Source organism: Homo sapiens, chromosome 1 (assembly GCF_000001405.40).
Source record: "Homo sapiens chromosome 1, GRCh38.p14 Primary Assembly".
In the NCBI taxonomy this organism is placed as follows: Eukaryota; Metazoa; Chordata; class Mammalia; order Primates; family Hominidae; genus Homo; species Homo sapiens.
Window position 1 is genome coordinate 25,412,368 of NC_000001.11, and position 20,037 is coordinate 25,432,404.

General features: G+C 48.5%; 2 protein-coding genes across 14 annotated transcripts in view, besides 3 other annotated features; one reads left to right on the plus strand and one right to left on the minus strand.

Moving 5' to 3' along the window:
* RHCE (Rh blood group CcEe antigens) overlaps positions 1-17,836 on the minus strand; it is a 67,955-nt gene extending 50,119 nt beyond the window's left edge. For 7 of the 11 annotated variants that reach the window (NM_138616.5, NM_138617.5, XM_017002014.3 and 4 more), the window contains 1 exon segment: positions 8,272-8,568. In NM_138616.5, coding sequence (NP_619522.3) covers positions 8,272-8,419 — 148 coding nt within the window. In that variant the 5' untranslated portion in view covers positions 8,420-8,568. 11 annotated transcript variants of the gene reach the window in all.
* Positions 1,475-1,976: an enhancer, noted in NCBI's record as "H3K4me1 hESC enhancer chr1:25740333-25740834 (GRCh37/hg19 assembly coordinates)". NCBI's record gives its function as "activates a minimal SCP1, AML or CMV promoter by ChIP-STARR-seq in naive H9 embryonic stem cells {active_cell/tissue: H9 hESC(naive)}" and the evidence as "EXISTENCE:reporter gene assay evidence [ECO:0000049][PMID:30033119]".
* Positions 17,556-17,995: a silencer, noted in NCBI's record as "silent region_454". NCBI's record gives its function as "represses an Ori minimal core promoter by ATAC-STARR-seq in GM12878 lymphoblastoid cells {active_cell/tissue: GM12878}" and the evidence as "EXISTENCE:reporter gene assay evidence [ECO:0000049][PMID:35858748]".
* Positions 18,386-19,045: a silencer, noted in NCBI's record as "silent region_455". NCBI's record gives its function as "represses an Ori minimal core promoter by ATAC-STARR-seq in GM12878 lymphoblastoid cells {active_cell/tissue: GM12878}" and the evidence as "EXISTENCE:reporter gene assay evidence [ECO:0000049][PMID:35858748]".
* The window catches only part of MACO1 (macoilin 1), a 69,313-nt gene continuing 67,805 nt past the window's right edge, over positions 18,530-20,037 (plus strand). For all 3 annotated transcript variants that reach the window (NM_018202.6, NM_001282564.2, XM_005245931.3), the window contains exon 1: positions 18,530-18,811. In NM_018202.6, the coding sequence (NP_060672.2) occupies positions 18,732-18,811 (80 nt within the window). In that variant the 5' untranslated portion in view covers positions 18,530-18,731. The remainder of the gene's footprint in view (positions 18,812-20,037) is intronic.

The following is a 20,037-nucleotide window of genomic DNA, read 5'->3' on the forward strand; positions in this document are numbered from 1 at the left end:
AGATGGGGAGAGGAGAGTTGCCTGGATAAGGGCAGAGTTGGGGCCCTAAAGATTAGGAAGTCAGACCAGGTGTGGTGGCTCACACCTGTAATCCCAGCACTTTGGGAGGCCAAGGAAGGAGGATTGCTTGAGCTGAGGAGTTCAAGACCAGCCTAGGCAACATAGCAAGACCTTGTCTCTACAAAAAATACAAAATTACTTGGGCGTGGTGGCAAGTGCCTGTAGTCCCAGCTACTCAGGAGGGTGAGGTGGGAGGATGGCTTGTGCCTAGAAGGTTAAGGCTGCAGTGAGCCACGATCACATCACTATACTCCAGCAGCCTAGGCGACAGAGGGAGACCCTTTTTTTAAAAAAAAAAAAAAAAAAAAAAAAAAAGGCCGGGCACAGTGGCTTATGCCTGTAATCCTAGCACTTTGGGAGGCTGAGGTGGGCAGATCACTTGAAGTCAGGAGTTTGAGACCAGCCTGGCCAACATGGTGAAATCCCGTCTCTACTAAAAATACAAAATTAGCCTGGCATGGTGGCGCATGCCTGTAATCCCAGCTACTCAGGAGGCTGAGGCAGGAGAATCGCTTGAACCCAGAAGGCTGAGGTTGCAGTGAGCCGAGATCGCACCACTGTACTCCAGCCTGGATGACAGAGTGAGACTCCGGCTCAAAAAAAAAGAGAGATGAGGAAGTCAGAGGATCCTGGGTGGGGGCTTTATCGGGCACAGCTGCTGCCCCTGATCCCGATTCCCTGATTCCAGGTATATGCGCTCAGGGCCTTCCTCCCCAAGGCTCTACACTGTCCCTGAGAGAGGAATTGTGCCTCAGCCAACAAGATGAAATTAGGGCAGCAGTTTCCATGAGCTGTTGACAGAGCTCATGCACCCCAAACTGGTCAGGAAATAACATTTGATTTCAGGCTTCTCCTCCCCCTGCCCCCTCATCCTCCCACCTCTCTTGGGCTCCAGGCCCATTTCCACCCGTCCATTATCTGGGCTCCCGCTTCAGGGCTGGGTCCCAGCTTGGAGCATCCTCACTGGTATCAGCCTCCACCTCTCACAGTCTGCTCTGCACTCACATCAGCTGCTGGTTTGATAAGCTGATGGGCTCTAAGGTGTTCAGGGGTGATAAGAAGTGGATGTCCTACCCGGGCGCCCATGCCTGGGCCCAGAGGGGAATTGTACATTCTACGGAAAGCCTTCAGGAAAAGTTTATGAAAGCCTCATGACTTGCAGAAAGAAGTCTAACCTGGTAGTTCAGCAGCGAGAGATAAGGCAATACTCACCATTGTTGTAACAGCAGGCACACAGATAGACAGTACCCCACGTTCCAGGCACTGTTCTACGTGCCTTACAGACTTAGCCCACAACAGCCTCAGGTAGGAGGTACGATTTATTATCCCCATTTTAGAGAGGGGGAAAGGGAGGCACAGAGAGGTGCTATAACTAGTCCAAGTCACAGAGCTAGTAAATGGTAGCAGGAGGATTCAAACCCTACCTACCTAGGTTTAACCATTATGCCATCCTGCCTTTCTATACAGCATATATAGCGTAACGGTGATGAACAGTGTGGGTCTCTCAATCAGGTTGTCAGTGTTCAGAGCCTGGCTCTTCCTCTGTGTCCCAGCTTCCTGAGCTGTAAAATTGAGATGAAACAATGCCAGCTGCTCAGAGGATTGCCATGAGCATTGAGCTCGCTGGCTCATGCAAGTCACTTTGCCCAGCATTGGGTACGTAGTGAGTGTTAGTAACTGTTACCCCGTGCCGGCCGCTGATTAGCGGTGTGACTTTAGGCAAGACTGCTCTCCCCCAGGCCTGTTGCAAAGAGACCACTTGCAAAGAGTTCGTTTGGATAACAGCACTTTGGCCTTCTGAGTCCATCCCCTTGGGCAGCTGCCTCCTCCGGTCAGCTGCCTCTGTGATTCTGGATCTGCACCCCCTCCCACTCTTGCCCCTCCCTCTGGCCTGCAGAAACTTCAGCACCAAGAGCTCTGAAGGCAGAACCAGCTTCACTCCCCCAGGCTCTAGGGTTGACCTCCACCCTGTGCTCCCACTGCTGCCTGGAAAGACCACTGCAGCCTCAGGAGGCCGCCACCTCCTCGCCCACAGCCTCTACTCTACCGGCGACTCTCACCCCTCCAGCAGCCTGGGAAGAAAAACAGAGATTTCCCAAAGGGGCAGACCAAAGCTGCAGTGTGGAAGGTGCCAGGGTTTGGAGTGTTTACATGTCACTGGGAAAACTCCTCTGTCTTCTAGTAGCCCCTCTCTCTGCCTTTGAGGAGTATGGGGTGGGGATGGGGGACTGAGTGGTATCCACAGCACAGGACCCAGGATAGTCTCCCAGTTTGGTAGCCTTAGGGAAGCTCTGCCTGGTAGGCGATTGTTACAGTAATGGCCCCCAGTGAATCACCAATTGCCAAACATGTGAATGAGGTCATCTGAGGCCATCCCACCCCAAACTGCAGATGCATGAATGACCCTGGGTGAAACTAACAGAAGAACTGCCCAGCTGAACCCAGCCCAGTTGTTGCACCACAGAATCATGATCATGAGTAAATTAAAAGGTTGCTATTTTAAGCCACTAAGTTTGGGGTGGCTGTTATGCAGCAATAGGTAATTGATACTCTCTGCTTCCCCTAAGCATATCATAGGCCCCTTAACTCCAAGCCCAGAATGAACATATCATTGTTCATTCATCCTCACAACCTGTCCCTCCCCTTCTGTCTCTCACCTCAGGAACTGGCACCTCTCTATGCCAAATCATACATCTGCAGCCAGTCTTAACTCCCCACTCTTTTCATCAAGTACAGCTGACTTTATCTCCTAAATATCTCTAGAATCTCCTCCACTGCCCCTGCCCATCTGGTCTCATCACAGGTCATCCAGACCAGTAGTCATTACAGCAAAGAACACACACCCCAGAAAATGCTCAATACAATCACCAGGGTAGCTGGAAGAAAACAAGCAATTCTAGTTTTATTTATTTTATTTAAAAAATTAAGAAATTAAAGCTTTTGGGCCAGGCATGGTGGCTCACGCCTGTAATCCCAGCACTTTGGGAGGCCGAGGCGGGTGGATCACCTGAGGTTGGGAGTTCGAGACCAGCCTGACCAACATGGAGAAACCCCGTCTCTACTAAAAATACAAAATTAGCCGGGCGTGGTGGCGCATGCCTGTAATCCCAGCTACTCGGGAGGCTGAGGCAGGAGAATTACTTGAACCTGGGAGGCGGAGGTTGCGGTGAGCCAAGATCGCACCACTGCACTCCCCTGGGCAATAAGAGCAAAACTCTGTCTCAAAAAAAAAAAGCTTTTGATAATAAAAGCTAATACTCTTTATGTGTGTCAATTCATTTATCCTTTCAACAACTTAATGAAACAAGTACTATCATCCTCTGACAGAAGTAGAAACAGAGGCAGAAAGAGGTTGACTAATCTGCCCAAGGTCTCTAAGATACAGAGGCAAGATTTGAATCAGTCTAGCTCCAGGAATTCTCGAACTTTCACGCACAGAAGAATCACCCAGAGGGCTTGTGAAAACACAGATTGCTGGGCCCCAGGCCCAGAGCTTCTGATCAGTAGGTCTGGCCTAGGGCCTGAGAATCTGCATTTCTACTAAATTTCCAGGAGATGCTGAGGCAGCAGGTCTGGGGACCACACTTTGAGAAACATGGATCTAGGCTATTCTATCTCTAAAGGTACTTTGTGAAGTTTTCAATTCTGCAAATATTTAATATTCAGATTCACCCAGAAGCCACCCCTCACTTGCTCAGGATGTCATACAGCCTTGAGTCTCCTAGCTTTGGAAGGTGCCCTAAGGGAATATTGGTCCAATGAGAAGGATTTGATACGCATTTCTCTATATTCTTCATGTTGCAACTAATGGCAGGGTTTTATGTTTTATTTATTTTTATTTTCATTTTTTTTTTGAGATGGAGTCTCGCCCTGTTGCCCAGGCTGGAGTGCAGTGGTGTAATCTCAGCTCACTGAAAGCTCCGCCTCCTGGGTTCACGCCATTCTCCTGCCTCAGCCTCCCAAGTAGCTGGGACTACAGGCACCCGCCACCATACCCAGCTAATTTTTTGTATTTTTAGTAGAGATGGGGTTTCATCATGTTAGCCAGGATGGTCTCCATCTCCAGACCTCGTGATCTGCCTGCCTTGGCCTCCCAAAGTGCTGGGATTACAGGCGTGAGCCACCGCACCCAGCCTTTATGTTTTATTTATATTTTTAAATTTGTTATTACAGTCTCGCTTCACCTCAAATATTTTCATTTTTTTTTGAGACAGGGTCTTGCTCTGTCGCCCATGCTGGAGTGAAGTGGTACAATCCCGTCCCACTGCAGCCTCAAGCTCCCAGGCTCAAGCAAGCCTCTCACCTCAGCCTACTGAGTAGCTGGGACTACAGGCATGTGCCACCACACTGGGTTAAATTTTACAGTTTTTTTTTTTTTTTTTTAGAGATGGCGGGGGGGGGTCTCCCTATGTTTCCTAGGCTGGTCTTGAACTTCTTGGTTTAAGCAATCCTCCCCACTTGGCCTCCCTAAGTGCTCAGCCAGGGTGTTTTTTTTTTTTTTAATTAACTATTACAGAACTTTCAAAGCATATATGAAAACAGAGAGAACAGCACGATGACCCTACGTGCCCATCTCCAAACTCTGATGATTGTCACATGAGACCAATCTTGTTTCTATAATCCTTCTCTACTTTTTCTTTTTTCTGGTATGAAAGCAAACCCCAGATATCATGCCATTTCAATGTGCCTCTCTAACAGATAGAGCCTTAAAAAACAAAAACAAAAAAAAAACCCACCATGCTTTTATCATACCTAACAAAATTAACAATAATCCTTGTATATCGTAAGATATTCATGCTATATTCAGATTTCCTGATTGTCTCAAAATGTCTTTTTAGAATTGGCAGGTTTGAATAATCTATTATAGTTTACCAGGACTGAATTCAATTAAGTGGATTGACAGATTAAGTTACCTAAGTTTAACTCAACAAACTTTCACAAAATGAAGTAATGGCTTAACCAACTCGTGCAGAAAAACACAGATTGGAAGCAGAGAAATAATGGCAGTCAAGTGAACAAAAAGGAAAGGCAGAGTGAAACTTCTCCTTGTACAAGCTGTCAGTCACATTCGAGATTTAAAAAATGTCGATCTAATCAGATCTGACAAGTCAATCAAGACAATTTCAAATTATCAAGAAGACTCTGAGGAGTGAATTTTCATCCACTATCGTCAACTGTAGCAATGGACCCTGCCTGGAGATTGACACCATTATGATTAGTAATTTGAAAATATTATATATTTCATTCTGATCTCTTTCAATTTTCCTAATTTGTATGTATTTATTATAACATACAAAATATATTAATGTAGTAATACTTAAAGTGTAACATATAACCATGGTACATGCTCAAAAAATGGTGTGTACACCATCAGAAGGTTGAAGCCCTCGGGTCAATACTACACTACAGCCTCCACGCTGGTCTTGTGTCTCAAGCCATGCCCCTTCCCCTGTGCCCAACACCAGCCCTGGCATGGCATCCGCCATGACCCAAACCCAAACTTGTCGCGCTCCTGTTTACTATTCGGACCTCAGACTGAAGCCAAACTCCGTATGCAGCCCAGTGAGTCTACCACCCACTGCTTCCCTGTTTATTTTTATTTATTACTATTATTTTTTTCAGACAGAGTCCCACTCTGTCACCCAGGCTGGAGTGCAGTGGCGTATTCTCAGCTCAGCTACCTCTACCTCCTGGGTTCAAGCAATTCTCCTCCCTCAGCTTCCCAAGCAGCTGGGACTACAGGCACGTGCCACCACATCCGGCTAATTTTTGTATTTTTAGTAGAGACAGGGTTTCACCATATGGGCCAGGCTGGTCTCGAACTCCTGACCTCAGGTGATCTGCCCGCCTTGGCCTCCCAAAGTGTTTGGGATTACAGGCATGAGCCACCACACCCAGTCCCTGCTCTCCTCTTTGTTTTTTGTTGTTGTTGTTGTTTTTGTTTGGTTTTTTGAGATGAAGTCTTGCTCTGTCGCCCAGGCTGGAGTGTAATGGCCTCCCAAGTAGCTGGGATTACAGACGTGTGCCACCACACCCGGCTAGTTTTTATAATTTTAGTAGAGATGGGGTTTTGCCATGTTGGCCAGGCTGGTCTTGAACTCCTAACCTCAGGTGATTCTCCAGCCTTGGCCTCCCAAAGTGCTGGGATTACAGGTGTCAGCTACCTCGCCCAGCCCCTTGCTTCTCTTTTTAGGCTACAGGGCAATGCAATGTTAAGCCCAAGCTCAGTCTGCTCTAGTGTGTGCACACGCAATGGCACCCACTGTGCCCTCACTTGGATGACCCGCCTTTGTCCCACAGGTAATTCCTACTGAGCCTTCAAGAGCTGGCTGGGCAGGCACCTCCCTCCAGAAGCCTCCCCTGACACCATCGTCTCCCCTGCCTGGGTTGTGGACCCTCCTCTGAGCTTCCATATAAAGTGAGTTTCTGAGGACATTTTGTACCTACGTTAGTAGCACGGTGCAGGGGTAAAGAACATGGACCCTAGAGTCAATCTACAGGGTTGGAATAGTGGCTGCTACACCTACTGGGTTATATGACAAATGACTCAACGCCACTGTAAAATGGGGCCATGATGCATAATGGTTAAGTGTAAGGAAACTAAATCCAGGGTGGCTAAATTTAAATACGCTGTGCTATTGCTAGCTGAGCGACCTTGGGCAAATTACTCAACATCCATATGCCTAGTTTCCTCATATGAAAAACGAAGATCATAATAGTACCCACCTCATTGGGTTATTGTGAGGGTTCAATGTAAAGCATGTAGAATAGTGCCTGGTACATAGTAAGTGCTCATAAATATCAGTTCTAATCATCATGTGTCTGGATCCCACATTGGATGTCATACATGGTTGAATGAATGGAATGCATTGAATTGTATTGGATTGAAATGAATTAAAGTAAATTGAAATGAATTAAAATTGTGCCAGCTCTTGTTTGTCTGTCACTGAAGGCTCCTCTCTGGGCCAGCACCTTAAATGGTATAAGGGCTTCCCTCCCTAAGTCCTACTTGTCACTGCCATGGCCCCCAGGATGACTTCTCTTTGCTTCCAGTTAACTAGCCGTTCATATCAACCTAGGAACAAGCAAGCACTCAACCAGGCTCAAGCTTCAACTTTGTCTCAGGGACATTCTTCAAGGAGGCCCTGTCCATTATCAACAACCTATCAGCCCACTGAGATGCCTGAAACTCATTTCAATATTTTTAAAAAAGCAAAGTCACACCATTGTGGACATCTGTCTTATTTACAGTTGTCTCATCACAGTCTGGGAATATTTTTAGCTGAATATAAAATAACCATCATCCTACCCTCCCCTTCAGCCATACCTTCTGGTTCTGGATTTATAGACAGCATGCAGACTTCCCAGCCCCTAAGTGAGAAGAAAGCTGGGGTCGGTGGGGGTGGGGGTGGGGGGTAGCAACAGGCTGAAGCTTCCAAAAGAAAACTAGTATAGATATGAGCAAGAGAGCTGGGCACAGTGCTTCACGCCTGTAATTCCAGCACTTTGGGAGACTGAGGCTGGAGGATCGCTTGTGTCCAGGAGTTTGAGACCAGTCTGGGAAACACAGGGAGACCCACATCTCTACCAAAAAAAAAAAAAAATTTAGCCAGGCATGGTGGTGCCCTCCTGTGGTCCCAGCTTCTTGGGAGGCTGAGGTGGGAAGATTGCTTGAGACTAGGAGGTCAAGGCTGCAGTGAACCATGATCATGCCACTGCACTTCAGCCTGGGCAACAGAGTGAGACCCTGTCTCAAAAAGAAATAAGAAATGAGCGAGAGGCCACAAAAAGGAAACAAAACCCGAAAACCCAACAACATGAAATTGCTTGCATAAGCTAGCTGCACTTGTATCCCCTAAATCTATAAAAATAAAAAAAATCCTTGCCACTAAGGAGAGAGAAGGGGAAGCAGAGAAGCAGAGAATTATGAAGACCATTTGGTAGAGGGAATTTGAGGAACACCAAAGAGGATGCCTCTCACTGTGCTGAAAAATCAAGGCAGGCTTCACAGAAGAGGGCATGCCCAGGCTGCTTCTAAAGGAAAGCTTACATTGTTGACTGAATTTCGGTGCAATCTACGGAAGAAGATGGGGGAATCTTTTCCTCGGGATTTTGTAGAAAGGAACATCTGTGCCCCTGGAGAACCATAGGCCTCCCCCGCCCCTGCCCCTGCTATTTGCTCCTGTGACCACTGTTCCAATGAACTCTCACCTTGATAGGATGCCACGAGCCCCTTTTGATCCTCTAAGGAAGCGTCATAGTGGGTAAAAAAATAGAAGAGGAGAATGAGAGCTGCTTCCAGTGTTAGGGCGCAGAGGGGCAGGCAGCGCCGGACAGACCGCGGGTACTTAGAGCTCATCCTGTGTCCGTCTCTGTGCAGGGGTTCCACCAGCACCAGGCATCACCCCTCTCTCCAACACCTACTTGAGGGCTTGAGGGAGCGATAGGGGAGACACCCGCCAAAGGCCTTATCTCAGGCTGCAAGGCTGGCTGTGCTGGCCTGTCTATGGAGTTAACACGGAAGCAGAGGGACTATGATGGGGAGGGGAGGAAATGTATGTTTTCCAATATTGTCATTCATTCAACAAGTTGCTGTGTTCCTGTTACAGGTTCCTGCTGTGCTCAGTTTGAAAGAGGGCATTCTATTCCTTTGACACCCAAACATAATCCTTCTTTACTCTGTACTTCAGTCATCTTCAGCATATCCTTGTAAGAAAAGCAAGGAACGGATCAATACTCCTATTTTATAAATAAGGAAACTGAAGCTCAGAAGAGGCTTTCTTTTTAAAACCTTACTACATGACAGAGAGGGCACCCAGTGAGCTCTTAACAACAATGTATTGAATGAGAATGAATGAAAGCAAAGAATGGAGCTGAGCCCTGGGGAGGATACAGATAGGACCCACGTAGAATTGACTCCTCATAGTTACACAGTTGAAATTACTTACATTTGAACTTGTATTTAAATCTATGTGTTTCTAAGCATTTTAAGGGGGGGTGGCAGAAGAGAAAGGAGATGTGGGTTTGGCTCTAGTAAAAACCTGGAGGGGATCCTGATCCAGCCTTAGGGTGAAGTTGCTCTACCTCTGGTCACCTCCTCACAGGGCAGCCCAGGACTCTGCCTGGGGCACTACAGTGCATCTGAGGAAGGCCACCAGCCTCAGCATCCCCATCCCTCAGTACTGGACAGTCCAGTCCCCTGGCATGAGCTTTACGGGGCTTGGGACTTAGTTCTAACCCTGCAGCCAACTTCCCGGAACTGTGCTCCCATCCATGTGCCTGGCAGAAGGTCTGGTACATGGTAAGTGTCAAGGAAGGAAGGAAGAGAGAGAGGGATGTAGGGAGGGAGGAAGGGATGAAAGAGGAAGAAAAGAAGGAAGGAATTGGAGTTTCCTCATTTTCTACAATGGCCCCAGCCACTGGCCACTGAGTGTAAACTGAATGTGTGGAGCCCCAGAGAATAAAGCCAGGGCCAGGAGCTACAGGGAAGTGGAAGGTGGAAAGTGGATACTTTATTGACCATTACAGTTGTCCACTGAAATACTCATGAGGTAGTGAGCACCCTGTCACTAGAGGAATGCAGAAATGTCTTGAAAACAATTCCTATGTAGATCAGAGGAGATTTTAATCACCCAGTCGAATCCTGTCATTTTGTTTTTAGACCAAGAAACCAAGACCCAGAGAGGTCATACCTAAGGTCATCTAGTCACTTGGCATCGGTCACTTCTTGCTCAGTGCAGCTTTATTTACAGAAGGAAAAAACTGAGACTAACCTAAATGTCCGCTAGCAGGGGGTTGGTTAAGAAAACTGCAGGACATGAAACTTGCTACCAATATGATGGTTCTGAACATATGCAGGAAAAGCAAGAGGAAAACGCTTTTATCAAAACTGACACAGAGGATAGACTGTTTAGTGAAAAAGCAAGTTATATAACAGCATGTACAATATATTCCCACTCTTATAAAATAATATGTTAGCACACGCATAGAAAAAAGTTGGCTGCAAACCACTAAAACATTGGTTAATTTTGCTTTATACATTTTCAGAGCTAACTGTTACTAAGTACTTGCTAGGCACCATTCTAAGCACTTTACATATATGAACTTAGTTCATGACACTGGGATGGGTACTATTAAGCTTTTATTACAAATGAGTAAACTGAGGCACAGAAAAACTAAGTGACTTGCTCAAGGTCACAGGGCTAGTAAGCAGTAGAGCTGGGATTTAAACCCAGGCAGCCTAACTTCAGGACCTGGGTGTTTGACCACTTAACTGTAGCCTAGATCAGGGGTCCCCAACCTATTTGGCACCAGGGACGGGTTTTGTAGAAGACAATTTTTCCATGGACCGGGGTGAGGTTGGAGGGATGGTGTGGGGATGAAACTGTTCCACCTCAGATCATCAGGCATTAGTTAGATTCTCCTAAGGAGCACGCAACCTAGATCCCTCTCATGCGCGGTTCCCAATAGGGTTTGTGCCCCTGTGAGAATCTAATGCCGCTGCTGATCTGACAGGAGGCGGAGCTCAGGCGGTAGTGCTCGCTGGCCTACCCCTCATGCTGTGCGGTCAGGTTCCTAACGGGCCACAGCCTGGGGGTTGGGGACCCCCAGCCTAGATTACTTCTAAGTCTTCTTCCAATTCTAAAAGTCTAGGAACATGGGCTTCTAAGCCCTCTGCTACCCCAACAGCAATTAAGGGGGAGGGTACCCCAATCCCCAGAGGTCAGAAGTCTCCATTCCTCTCACAATTGCCTCCTGGTTCTGATCTCTGCTCTATTTCTGGCAGTCAGTACTTCTTATAAACTGGGTTTCCTGAGAAGGAACTCCCCTGCACAGTGGGATAAAGGGATGTGACCCCTGCTAACCTGGGCCCAGTACAAGCTCTGTAAACCAGGCAGCCAACTGCACCTACCTACCCGAGGGCACCAGATGTCAGCAAGATGAACACTAAAGATTTCCAGGCAATGCCAACCCCTAGACCTGACAGGCATGTTTACCAGCTGGCAAACAGCGTGGGTGGTGGTTGGTTCCAAGGCACTCCAAATCCCTGTGCGTCCTGATCCTGCCCCAGTAAGGAAGCAGCAGGGACTGACTGCTTGACAAGAGGATCCCGCTCCTCGCAGAACAGAAATGCTTTCATTAAAAAAGGGAGGTATCCCTGCAGTTGGCCTCTCCCGACAGATTTCTCGAAAGCAGAGTTTTTGCTCTTCCCCTCTGACTCTTATAAAAGGCCCCATTTTCTGACTACATTTCCCGATATTCTGTCTTTAAATCTTCAAGGCAGGTCACCTGCTACAGAAAGCACAAGGGATCTAGGATAGATAAGTCAAAAACCAAATACAGTAAAATGTTAATTGTTGATTCTAGCTGTGAGATGTATGGCTTTTCACCGTACAAGTCTTTCAACTTTTTTTGGTAGATGTTTGAAATTTTTCATAATAAAATGCTGGGAAAAAAGCACTCTATTGCACCTGCTGTTCTCTCTGTCTGAAACACTCCTCCTACCAGATACAGATGGCCTCCGACGTACGGTGGTTTGACTTAACGCTTTTCAACTTTATGATGGCGCGAAAGCAACACACATGCAGTGGAAGCCGTGCTTAGAGTTCCCATCCCACCACTCCGTCTTTCACTTTCCGTACAGTACTCAGTACATTACATGAGATATTCAATACTTTATCATAAAATAGGCTTTGTGTTAGATGATTTTGCCCAACCGTAGGCTAATGTAAGCGTTCTAAGCATGTTTAAGGTAGGTGACACTAAGCTATGATGTTCCGTAGGTTAGGTGTATTAAATGCATTTTTGACTTACAATATTTCCTACTTACCATGGCTTTATCAGGACATAACCTCATCGAAAGTCAAGGAACAACTGTACTGGCTTGCTCCCCACCTCACCTCCCTGGATCTGTACTCCACCATCCCCTTCTCAGGGAAGTTTTCCCTGACTGCCCTTTTTTGCTGTGTTTTTTTTTTAGATGAAGTTTTGCTCTTGTTGCCCAGGCTGGACTGCAATGGCACAATCTCGGCTCACTGCAACCTCCGCCTCCCAGGTTCAAGCGATTCTCCCGCCTCAGCCTCCCGAGTAGCTGGGATTATAGGCACGCGATACCACACCTGGCTAGTTTTTGTAGTTTTAGTAGAGACAGGGTTTCACCACATTGGCCTGGCTGGTCTTGAACTCCTGACCTCAAGTGATCCACCTGCCTCGAACTCCCAAAGTGCTGGGATTATAAGTGTGAGCCACTGTGCCTGGCCTCTGATTGCCCTATTTAAAAGGACAGCATCAACTCCCCTTTCTGCTCCCCTTGACAAGGGTTCCTTGTGTTCCCCTTTTAGTTTCCTTCACAGCACTTACTAGCATCTGACGAAGTCTATATTTTTACTTGTGTATTTAGGTTTTTTTTTTAGATGGAGTACTCTGTCACCCAGGCTGGAATGCAGTGGCACGATCTTGGCTCATTGCAACTTCTGCCTTTTAGGTTCAAGCGATTCTCCTTCCTCAGCCTCCCAAGTAGCTGGGACTACAGGCATGAGCCACCACACTGCGCTAATTTTTGTATTTTTAGTAGTGACAGGGTTTCACCATGTTGGCTAGGCTGGTCTCGAACTCCTGACCTCAGGTGACTTGCCCACCTTGGCCTCGCAAAGTACTGGGATTACAGGCGTGAGCCACTGCGTCTGGCCGTGTATTTGTTCATTATCTGCTTTCCCCTATGAGAATCTGAGCAACATAAAGACAGGGACTTTTGACTGCTGTGGTTGCTGTTGTATCCTCAGCACCAGGGAAGTCCATAGTAGGTGCTCAATAAATATTTGTTGGCTGAATAACAGCTACCATTTCTGGAATGCCAAGCACGGAACCAATCATTTTGCATATGCTATTTCATCGGATCTTCCTCTCAAGCCTGTGAGTGTAGGCATCATTACGCTTACAAAAGAGGAAACTGCTGCTCAGAGAGGTGGCGTGAGTACCCAAAGCCACACAGCTAATAAACGGCAGAGGTGGGACCTAACCCAGATCCATCTGACACCATGGCTTGTGTTGCTAATCACTTTGCAATTCTGCCTCCCAAGTTACTAAATCACCCAGTCTCAATTTCCTTATGAGTCAAGTAAGATGTACTCTGGTCTCCTCACAGGGTTATTACAAACGTGAAAATTTGTCAGCAGGCCTGGCAGCCTGAGTTACGGAAATGAAGCTGAGCAAGTGGTGCTATGTCCACGGCGTGCTGGTCTGAGCAGCCAGGCTTCCTGCAGGTGTGGTGAATCAAGCCAGGGAGCCCACAGCTTTCACGTGTAATCATGACTTTTCTGTAAACACCAGACTCCCTGAGAATACCTGCCATGCCCTCCTACCTGAGTCAAGCTCAGTCACTGGCAGTGACCAATGAGGTAGGAGGTCCTCCGGTCCCTCCCTGGAAATGTGTCCACGCCAAGGGTGTGACCTTGCTCTGGGCACGTTTGGCTAAAGTGCAGCTAAGTCAGTCGTTCATTGATTTAACACACATGAGCTTTGGAGTTAGGCAACCTGGTTCAAATTCTGGCTTTGGAATGAGCTGTGTGACCTTGGGTAAAACAGTCAGTGTCTCTGTGCCTGTTTCCTCATCTGGAAAGGCAGAAAATCAGTGTCAATCTCACTGGGTTGTTGTGAAGATTCAACGAGGCAGTGCATAAAGTGTCAGATGTGTAGAAAACACTCCATAAATGTTAGCAATTATGATTATCACACAAGCTTGGCAAGTTTACTGTAGAAACTTTGAAAATACAGATGCATAAAGCTAACATAAAATGTCCATTTCAGTCTCTCCAAAAACCAGCACTATGTTTTGAGTGTATATCCTTTCAGATGTTTTTCTATTCCTGTCGATTTAGGCCTTGTTTTTCTCCCTACAAAAATGGGATTACACAGCACATACTGTTTGGTAACTTGCTATTTTCATGAACTCTATATCATAAGCAGTTTCCAAGCCAGGAAAATCTTTCTACAACAATATAACATGGTGGTTAAAGAGCCCAGGCACTGAAAGCAGACTGCCTGGATTTGAATTCCCAACTCTGTTACTATGTGACCTTAGGCAAGTGCCTTAACTCCTCTGTGCCACAGTGTCCTCATCTGTAATATGGTGCTAGTAATCTCTATCTCATAGGATTGTTGTGAGGATTAAAACAAAATGTATCTGATACTTGGAGTGGCGGCTGCCATAGTTAGTGCTGTGTATAATCATCCTCCATGCCACACTGACTTCCATGGTAAGGATATGTGATAAAGTGTTTGGTCAGTCCTCTCCCAAACTAGCCCTGTTCTAAACACTACAGTGAACATCTTCCATTAACATGGTTCTGGCCTGGTGTGGTGTCTCACGCCTGTAACCCCAGCACTTTGGGAGGCCAAGGCAGGTGGATCACCTAAGGTCAGGAGTTTGAGACCAGCCTGGCTAACATGGCAAAACCCCATTTCTACTAAAAACACAAAAATTATCCAGGCGTGGTGGCGTGTGCCTATAGTCTCAGCTACTCTGGAGGCTGAGGCAGGAGAATCACTTGAACCCAGGAGGCAGAGATTGCAGTGAGCTGAGAATGCACCACTGCACTCCAGCCTGGGTGACAGAGCAAGACTCCATCTCAAAAAAAAAAAAAATAGGTTTCTCTAGGGGATACAGGTACATGTGTTAAGAGGTGGCCATCGAAATGTTTGGACTTTTCTGTGATTCTTACAGGGCAGGAACAAAGCTCAAGACAGCTAGTGGGCTTGCGGGGATTGAACGGGCTGACAGAGGTGGGAATACCATTTCCTTATATGTGAAACAGGGTTTAATGATCTGGCCTCTAGAGCTGTTCTGGGCTCAGCTGAAGCCCAAGTGCAAATCCCTTCATCAGAAAGTCCCAGAAGGAGGGACAAGCCTAAATTCCTCTGTAGGCCTTGGTCTTTTGAATGAGGGCAAATTACTTCCCTTCCTTGTTTCACTCATTTGTAAAATGGCCACTGCTGATCTCTGCTTCCTGACTGGTGAAGGTGTGGGGAGCTGGGGCCTTCTGGCAGGAGGCCCACTTCTGTGCCCTTAGAATCCCAAAGGGCCATTTCAGGACTCAGAGGAAAAAGGCTGGCACTTGGCTGGAGCCAAAAGGGCTTGTGCTAGAGTGGGTCATGGAAAAAAGAGCTGGGTCTGGAGGAGTGAAAGAGGAAGAGTATGGAGATGGGCAGTCCTGCTCTGGCCTCTCCTTGGGTCTTGGCAAGAAGGCCATTCCCATCATCTCACCCCAACTCTACCCATCAATAGCTATATACAGGCACCACAGCTTGCTCAGCTTGTGCTTTGAGCTAGATTGCTCTACCACACCTATTATGTGACCTTGTTTCCTCTCAGCCTCAGTTTTCTCATTTGTAAAATGGAGCTAGCACAATCTGCTTCTAAACATAGAACTAGAAGCACCACCTCCAGAGGAGATCTTGGCACAGGGTGGGCTGGTGACTCAACCAAGGACACTAGTGAGTTGCCATGTGAATTGGGATTGGAACTTAGACCTCCAGACCTTCAGATTGTTTGTCAGCCATCACCCTCAGATTTTCTCTGCCCTTTCTCTGCTTCCACATAGTCCTAGAGCTCAACAGTAACTCTCAGCCACAACCTCCATTGCTCCCAGCCACTCCGCACTTTTGCCACAGCATGAGATGCCCTGTCAGGGTCTATTTAATAGTAGGCTAGACAGTGAGCCTCAGAAAGCTGGCATGTGTCCCCAGTGCCTCTCATCTTTTCTTTGGCTTACTCATCTAACCATCCCACTTAGTCTCTGGCCCAGGTAATCTGGAACACTGCAGTCATGGGGATGAGGGATATTCAAGTCTGGGGTTCCCATGGAGGCTGGAGCCCGGACTTTACCATGTACCTGTTCCTGCGCTCCCCAACGCCTTTAAGCTTCCATTTTGATTTGGTTCCCACCTGTATCTTCCTCAGTGAACCAATCTGCCTTGGCAGCTGAAGGCTTTTTTCTACTGCTCCACACATAGCATTCTGTTCATATCCTTTCTCAATGATGGGCAGGCCTTGGTGAAACTTTGAGCTCACAGAGTTTGTTTTCTTGGCCACCCGGTGCCACTTGATCAATATACTGAAGTAGAATTAAGGCATGAGAAACAAGTATACTGCTAACAGCAGTTACTTTCTGTTACCTACTGCTTGTCTGGCTCTGAAGGCTCATTGTCCTCCAAGCCTTAAAACAAACCTGAGTGGAAACAGACTGTGAGAGATTTAGTAACTTGTCCAAGCTAGTAAGTGGCCAAGCTAGAATTTCAGCCCTACTCTGAAAAAGCAAGTACTTTGGCCATTTTTCTTAACTGTATCTCTGCAGGGTATAGATTTGATCTCCAAGAAGCTTTTTGCCTAAGTGGATGGATAAGCCTTGCCTAAGAAACCACACACCAGAAGCGGCACTGACAGAGATACTGTGTTGGGGCAGAGGCAGGAAGGGGGAAAGATCGGTTGCAGTGGATTTAAGGATAGTGAGAAAAACGGTTTGCTTGCCTGGCGTAGCCTGGAAAAGGAGGGTGGGTCCCCACTGTGACCAGCTCTGGATGCCCTTCGAAACAGAATGGGTTTTCTCTTCCAGGCACTGGGAGATCTTTGAAGGTTTGTGAGCAGAAGAAAGTAACACAGAGTCATGATTGAGGACAACGCATTTGGTGTAAAGTTTCTCCCTGGGGTAGATGTTGATTAAGGGAGGGGTGATTACAGGCCAGAGAGAGTTCTGTGAAACCCAGGACAAAACAAAATGGCATCTACTTCCTGGGAAGTTTTTTTTTTTTTTTTTTTTTTGAGACAAAGTCTCGCTCTCCTGCCTCAGCCTCTCGAGTAGCTGGGACTACAGGTGCCCGCCACCATGCCCAGCTAATTTTTTGTATTTTTAGTAGAGATGGGGTTTCACCATGTTATCCAGGATGGTCTCCGATCTCCTGACCTCGTGATCTACCCGCCTCGGCCTCCCAAAGTGCTGGGATTACAGGCGTGAGCCACCGCGCCCAGCCCTTCCTGGGAAGTTTTAAAAATGCACTGGAAGACTAACTGCCCCATTGTCGTTGAGGGATTACACTGATAAAGCTACTGGATAGGACATTCTGCAATATTTTCAGAAATATTTATAAAAGCTGCATTAAAACATGTAAAAATGCTTATGTTAAAAACAGTATGACTACTATTCTAGTATGACTACTATTCTAGTATGACCACTATTCTATTTAATAGCAATAGTAACATTATCATCCATAGGGGAAAATTGGAAAACAAGCAAATACAATAAAATGTCAACTGTATTTGTGTTAATGTGATGAGACTCATTGGTGTTTTTTCCTTTTCGGCCACTTTCCTACATTTTCCCCAGTTTTCTCTAATGATAAACATTCTTTTTATTTCTCTTAAAAAAAAACACCATGCGGACTTTTCTAAGTGTTACTTTGCCATACGTACGTGGCAGGGGAGTTATAAGGAGTAAATGAGCAAATACACGCAAATTACCCAGCACGGTGCCTGGCATAAAATCGGCGCTCAATGAGTACGAAGCGTGAAGGGTCGCCGGCCCCGCGTCCCCGCCTTGCAGGAGCCCGGACCCGCCGAGCAGGCTCCCGGTCCGGCCCGGCCCGGCCCGGAGGCCGATGCTTCGCGGTAGTGCCCTCGCGGGTCCTGCGGACTCGGCGCCCGCGGGGCCCACAGCGCTGCCCAGCCTGTGGACGTGGAGCCCGGGCCGCACCGCCGCACACGCCCCGGGCATCTCTGCGCTACGTCGCGCGCCCCCACGGCTCCGCCCCGTGGCGTAACCCGGGGCGGGGCCGCCACCTCCGATTGGCCGGCGCGCTGTCACCACGTCGCGGGAAGCTGGCAGGGTGTGTGTCTGTGTGCGTGTGGGGTTTGCTTTGTCATTCGTACCCCCGGTGCGCGCTGACGCGGTCGGCCTGGCCGAGCTCTCCAGCATCCGCAGAAGGGTCCCCGGCGCTGTTCCTGGGATGCTCCCTTACATAATGACGCGACTGGCTGAAGCGCACGTCAGCGCAGACACCGCACATGCCGCAAACCCGGGCCTTCCGATTTCATACATTGCTAGACGAGAGCCTACAATGCCATGCCGTACGGTATGCTCTAGTAGGGATTACAATACAATGAAACGCAACCCAATAATAATAAAGCATACCTTCGCAACAAGGCGTAATATAGGATGTTATATTTATAGGGCCTATTTATAAGCCTCTATTTAAATCTTTTCTGATAGGCTCAGCCGGGGACCCAGACACTATAATGATTGGCGCATTCTTCCGTCCTTCAAAGGGGCGGGTTCTAGAGTCAGTTTTGCCTCAGCGGGCCCTGGGATTGGCCGACAGCGGTTTACCGGTGGCTTCTATTGGCCTCCCGGGCCGTCCGTCGGAGCCGAGGAGGCGGGGCAGGCGGCTGGCTGGTGCTGGGCGGGCGGGCCCCGGAATTGTCATTTCTTTGTTTCCGAAGGCGGAGGAGGCTCCGAGCCCCCCCTCCCCGTGCTACCCCCTCCCCCCGGGTGCTGGCTCCATGTCTGTGTGACCGGCCTCAGGGGTAGAGTCCAGGCCCGACGCGGGGCGGGCCAGCGGCGGCGGCAGCTGAGGTGAGAGACGGCGGCGGCGGCGCGGGCACCCGGCCCCCCAGCGGGAGGATGAAGCGGCGGAACGCCGACTGCAGTAAGCTCCGCCGCCCCCTAAAGCGGAACCGGATCACCGAGGGCATTTACGGCAGGTGAGCGGCTGCACCCCCACTCCGCGGGCGCGGGCCCTGCGGTCCCCCTCCAGCTCCGAGGGGCCTGGCCCCGTTATGTAACCCCGAGTAGGCCGCACGCCCGCGCCGGGGGCTCTCCTAAGGAGCGCTGGCCCCGGAGCCGCTGGCCCGCCCGCCGGGGTCCGCCCCGGGTGCGCGGGGCGTGGCGAGGGTCGGCCCGGCCGGGCGGGCAGGGCGCGGCGGGCGCTGGCTGAGGGAGCCGCCGCGCCGCCGTTGGAAGCGCCGGGCCCGCCGGGGGGAGGGGCGGAGAGCCCCCAACCAGCCCGGCGTTCCTCAGCATCCCGGCCATGCCGCTGGGCCGGGAGGGCCGCTTCCGGGACCTCTGACTGGCCGCCGCTGGCCCCCGAGCCCCCCGGTGGCCTGGGGGCTTGCCGGCCGGAGCCAGGAGGCGCGTGGACCACAGCGCGGGGGGGTGGGGGAGGCTGACAAAGTTGAGAGCCCACTGTGGCCCCTCGTTCCCCCAAGCTGCCAGCATACTGGCCTGGGGCCATGCTGTCACTTCTTTCACCTTCTGCTTCCCATATGGGATCTCAAACTTGGCACCCAGGGCTGAAGCTGATACCCCCAAATCATGCCCTGTGGCCCTGCTCCAGATTCGGAAGGGTCTGATGACCAGTTTTTCAGCAAATATTGTTTTGACAATTCCAAGCAGATAGCTTGCTTTGAACGTTTTTAAAAAGGGATTTTCTCCAAACTCTTTTTTTTTTTTTTCATCCGCAAGAAAAGCAGTGTCCCTTTAAATAGAAATTGAATTCAGTCCACCGGTAGAGAAAGACAACAGGTTCATGGGGCAACTTACTATCATAGCTTCCCCAAGTCGATTTGTGTACGACTGTTATTTTCTGGTTCTTCTCAGAATGTTACTTGTAAATGGTATTTGCCTTGATACAGATTTCGGTGGAGAAGTAATTAGTTTACAAAGAAGAATTCTCAGCATGTGGATGTAGGCTTAATTGAGTCCTCATGGTGTTTTACAATTAGCTTCTCTAGCTGTGGGATTTCAAGAAATATGTGAGGTAGCTGATGACACCCAAGTTGTCTTAACATAACTGTACACCTTGCACATGCTCTTGTTTACAGATGTGGAATGATTGCTTTCCACAAGCAGCTGACTGATGTAAACACTGGGGATTTTCTTCAAGTTTAAAAGCATTAAGGAATCAAAGTAAAAATTTCTTGGGTATATT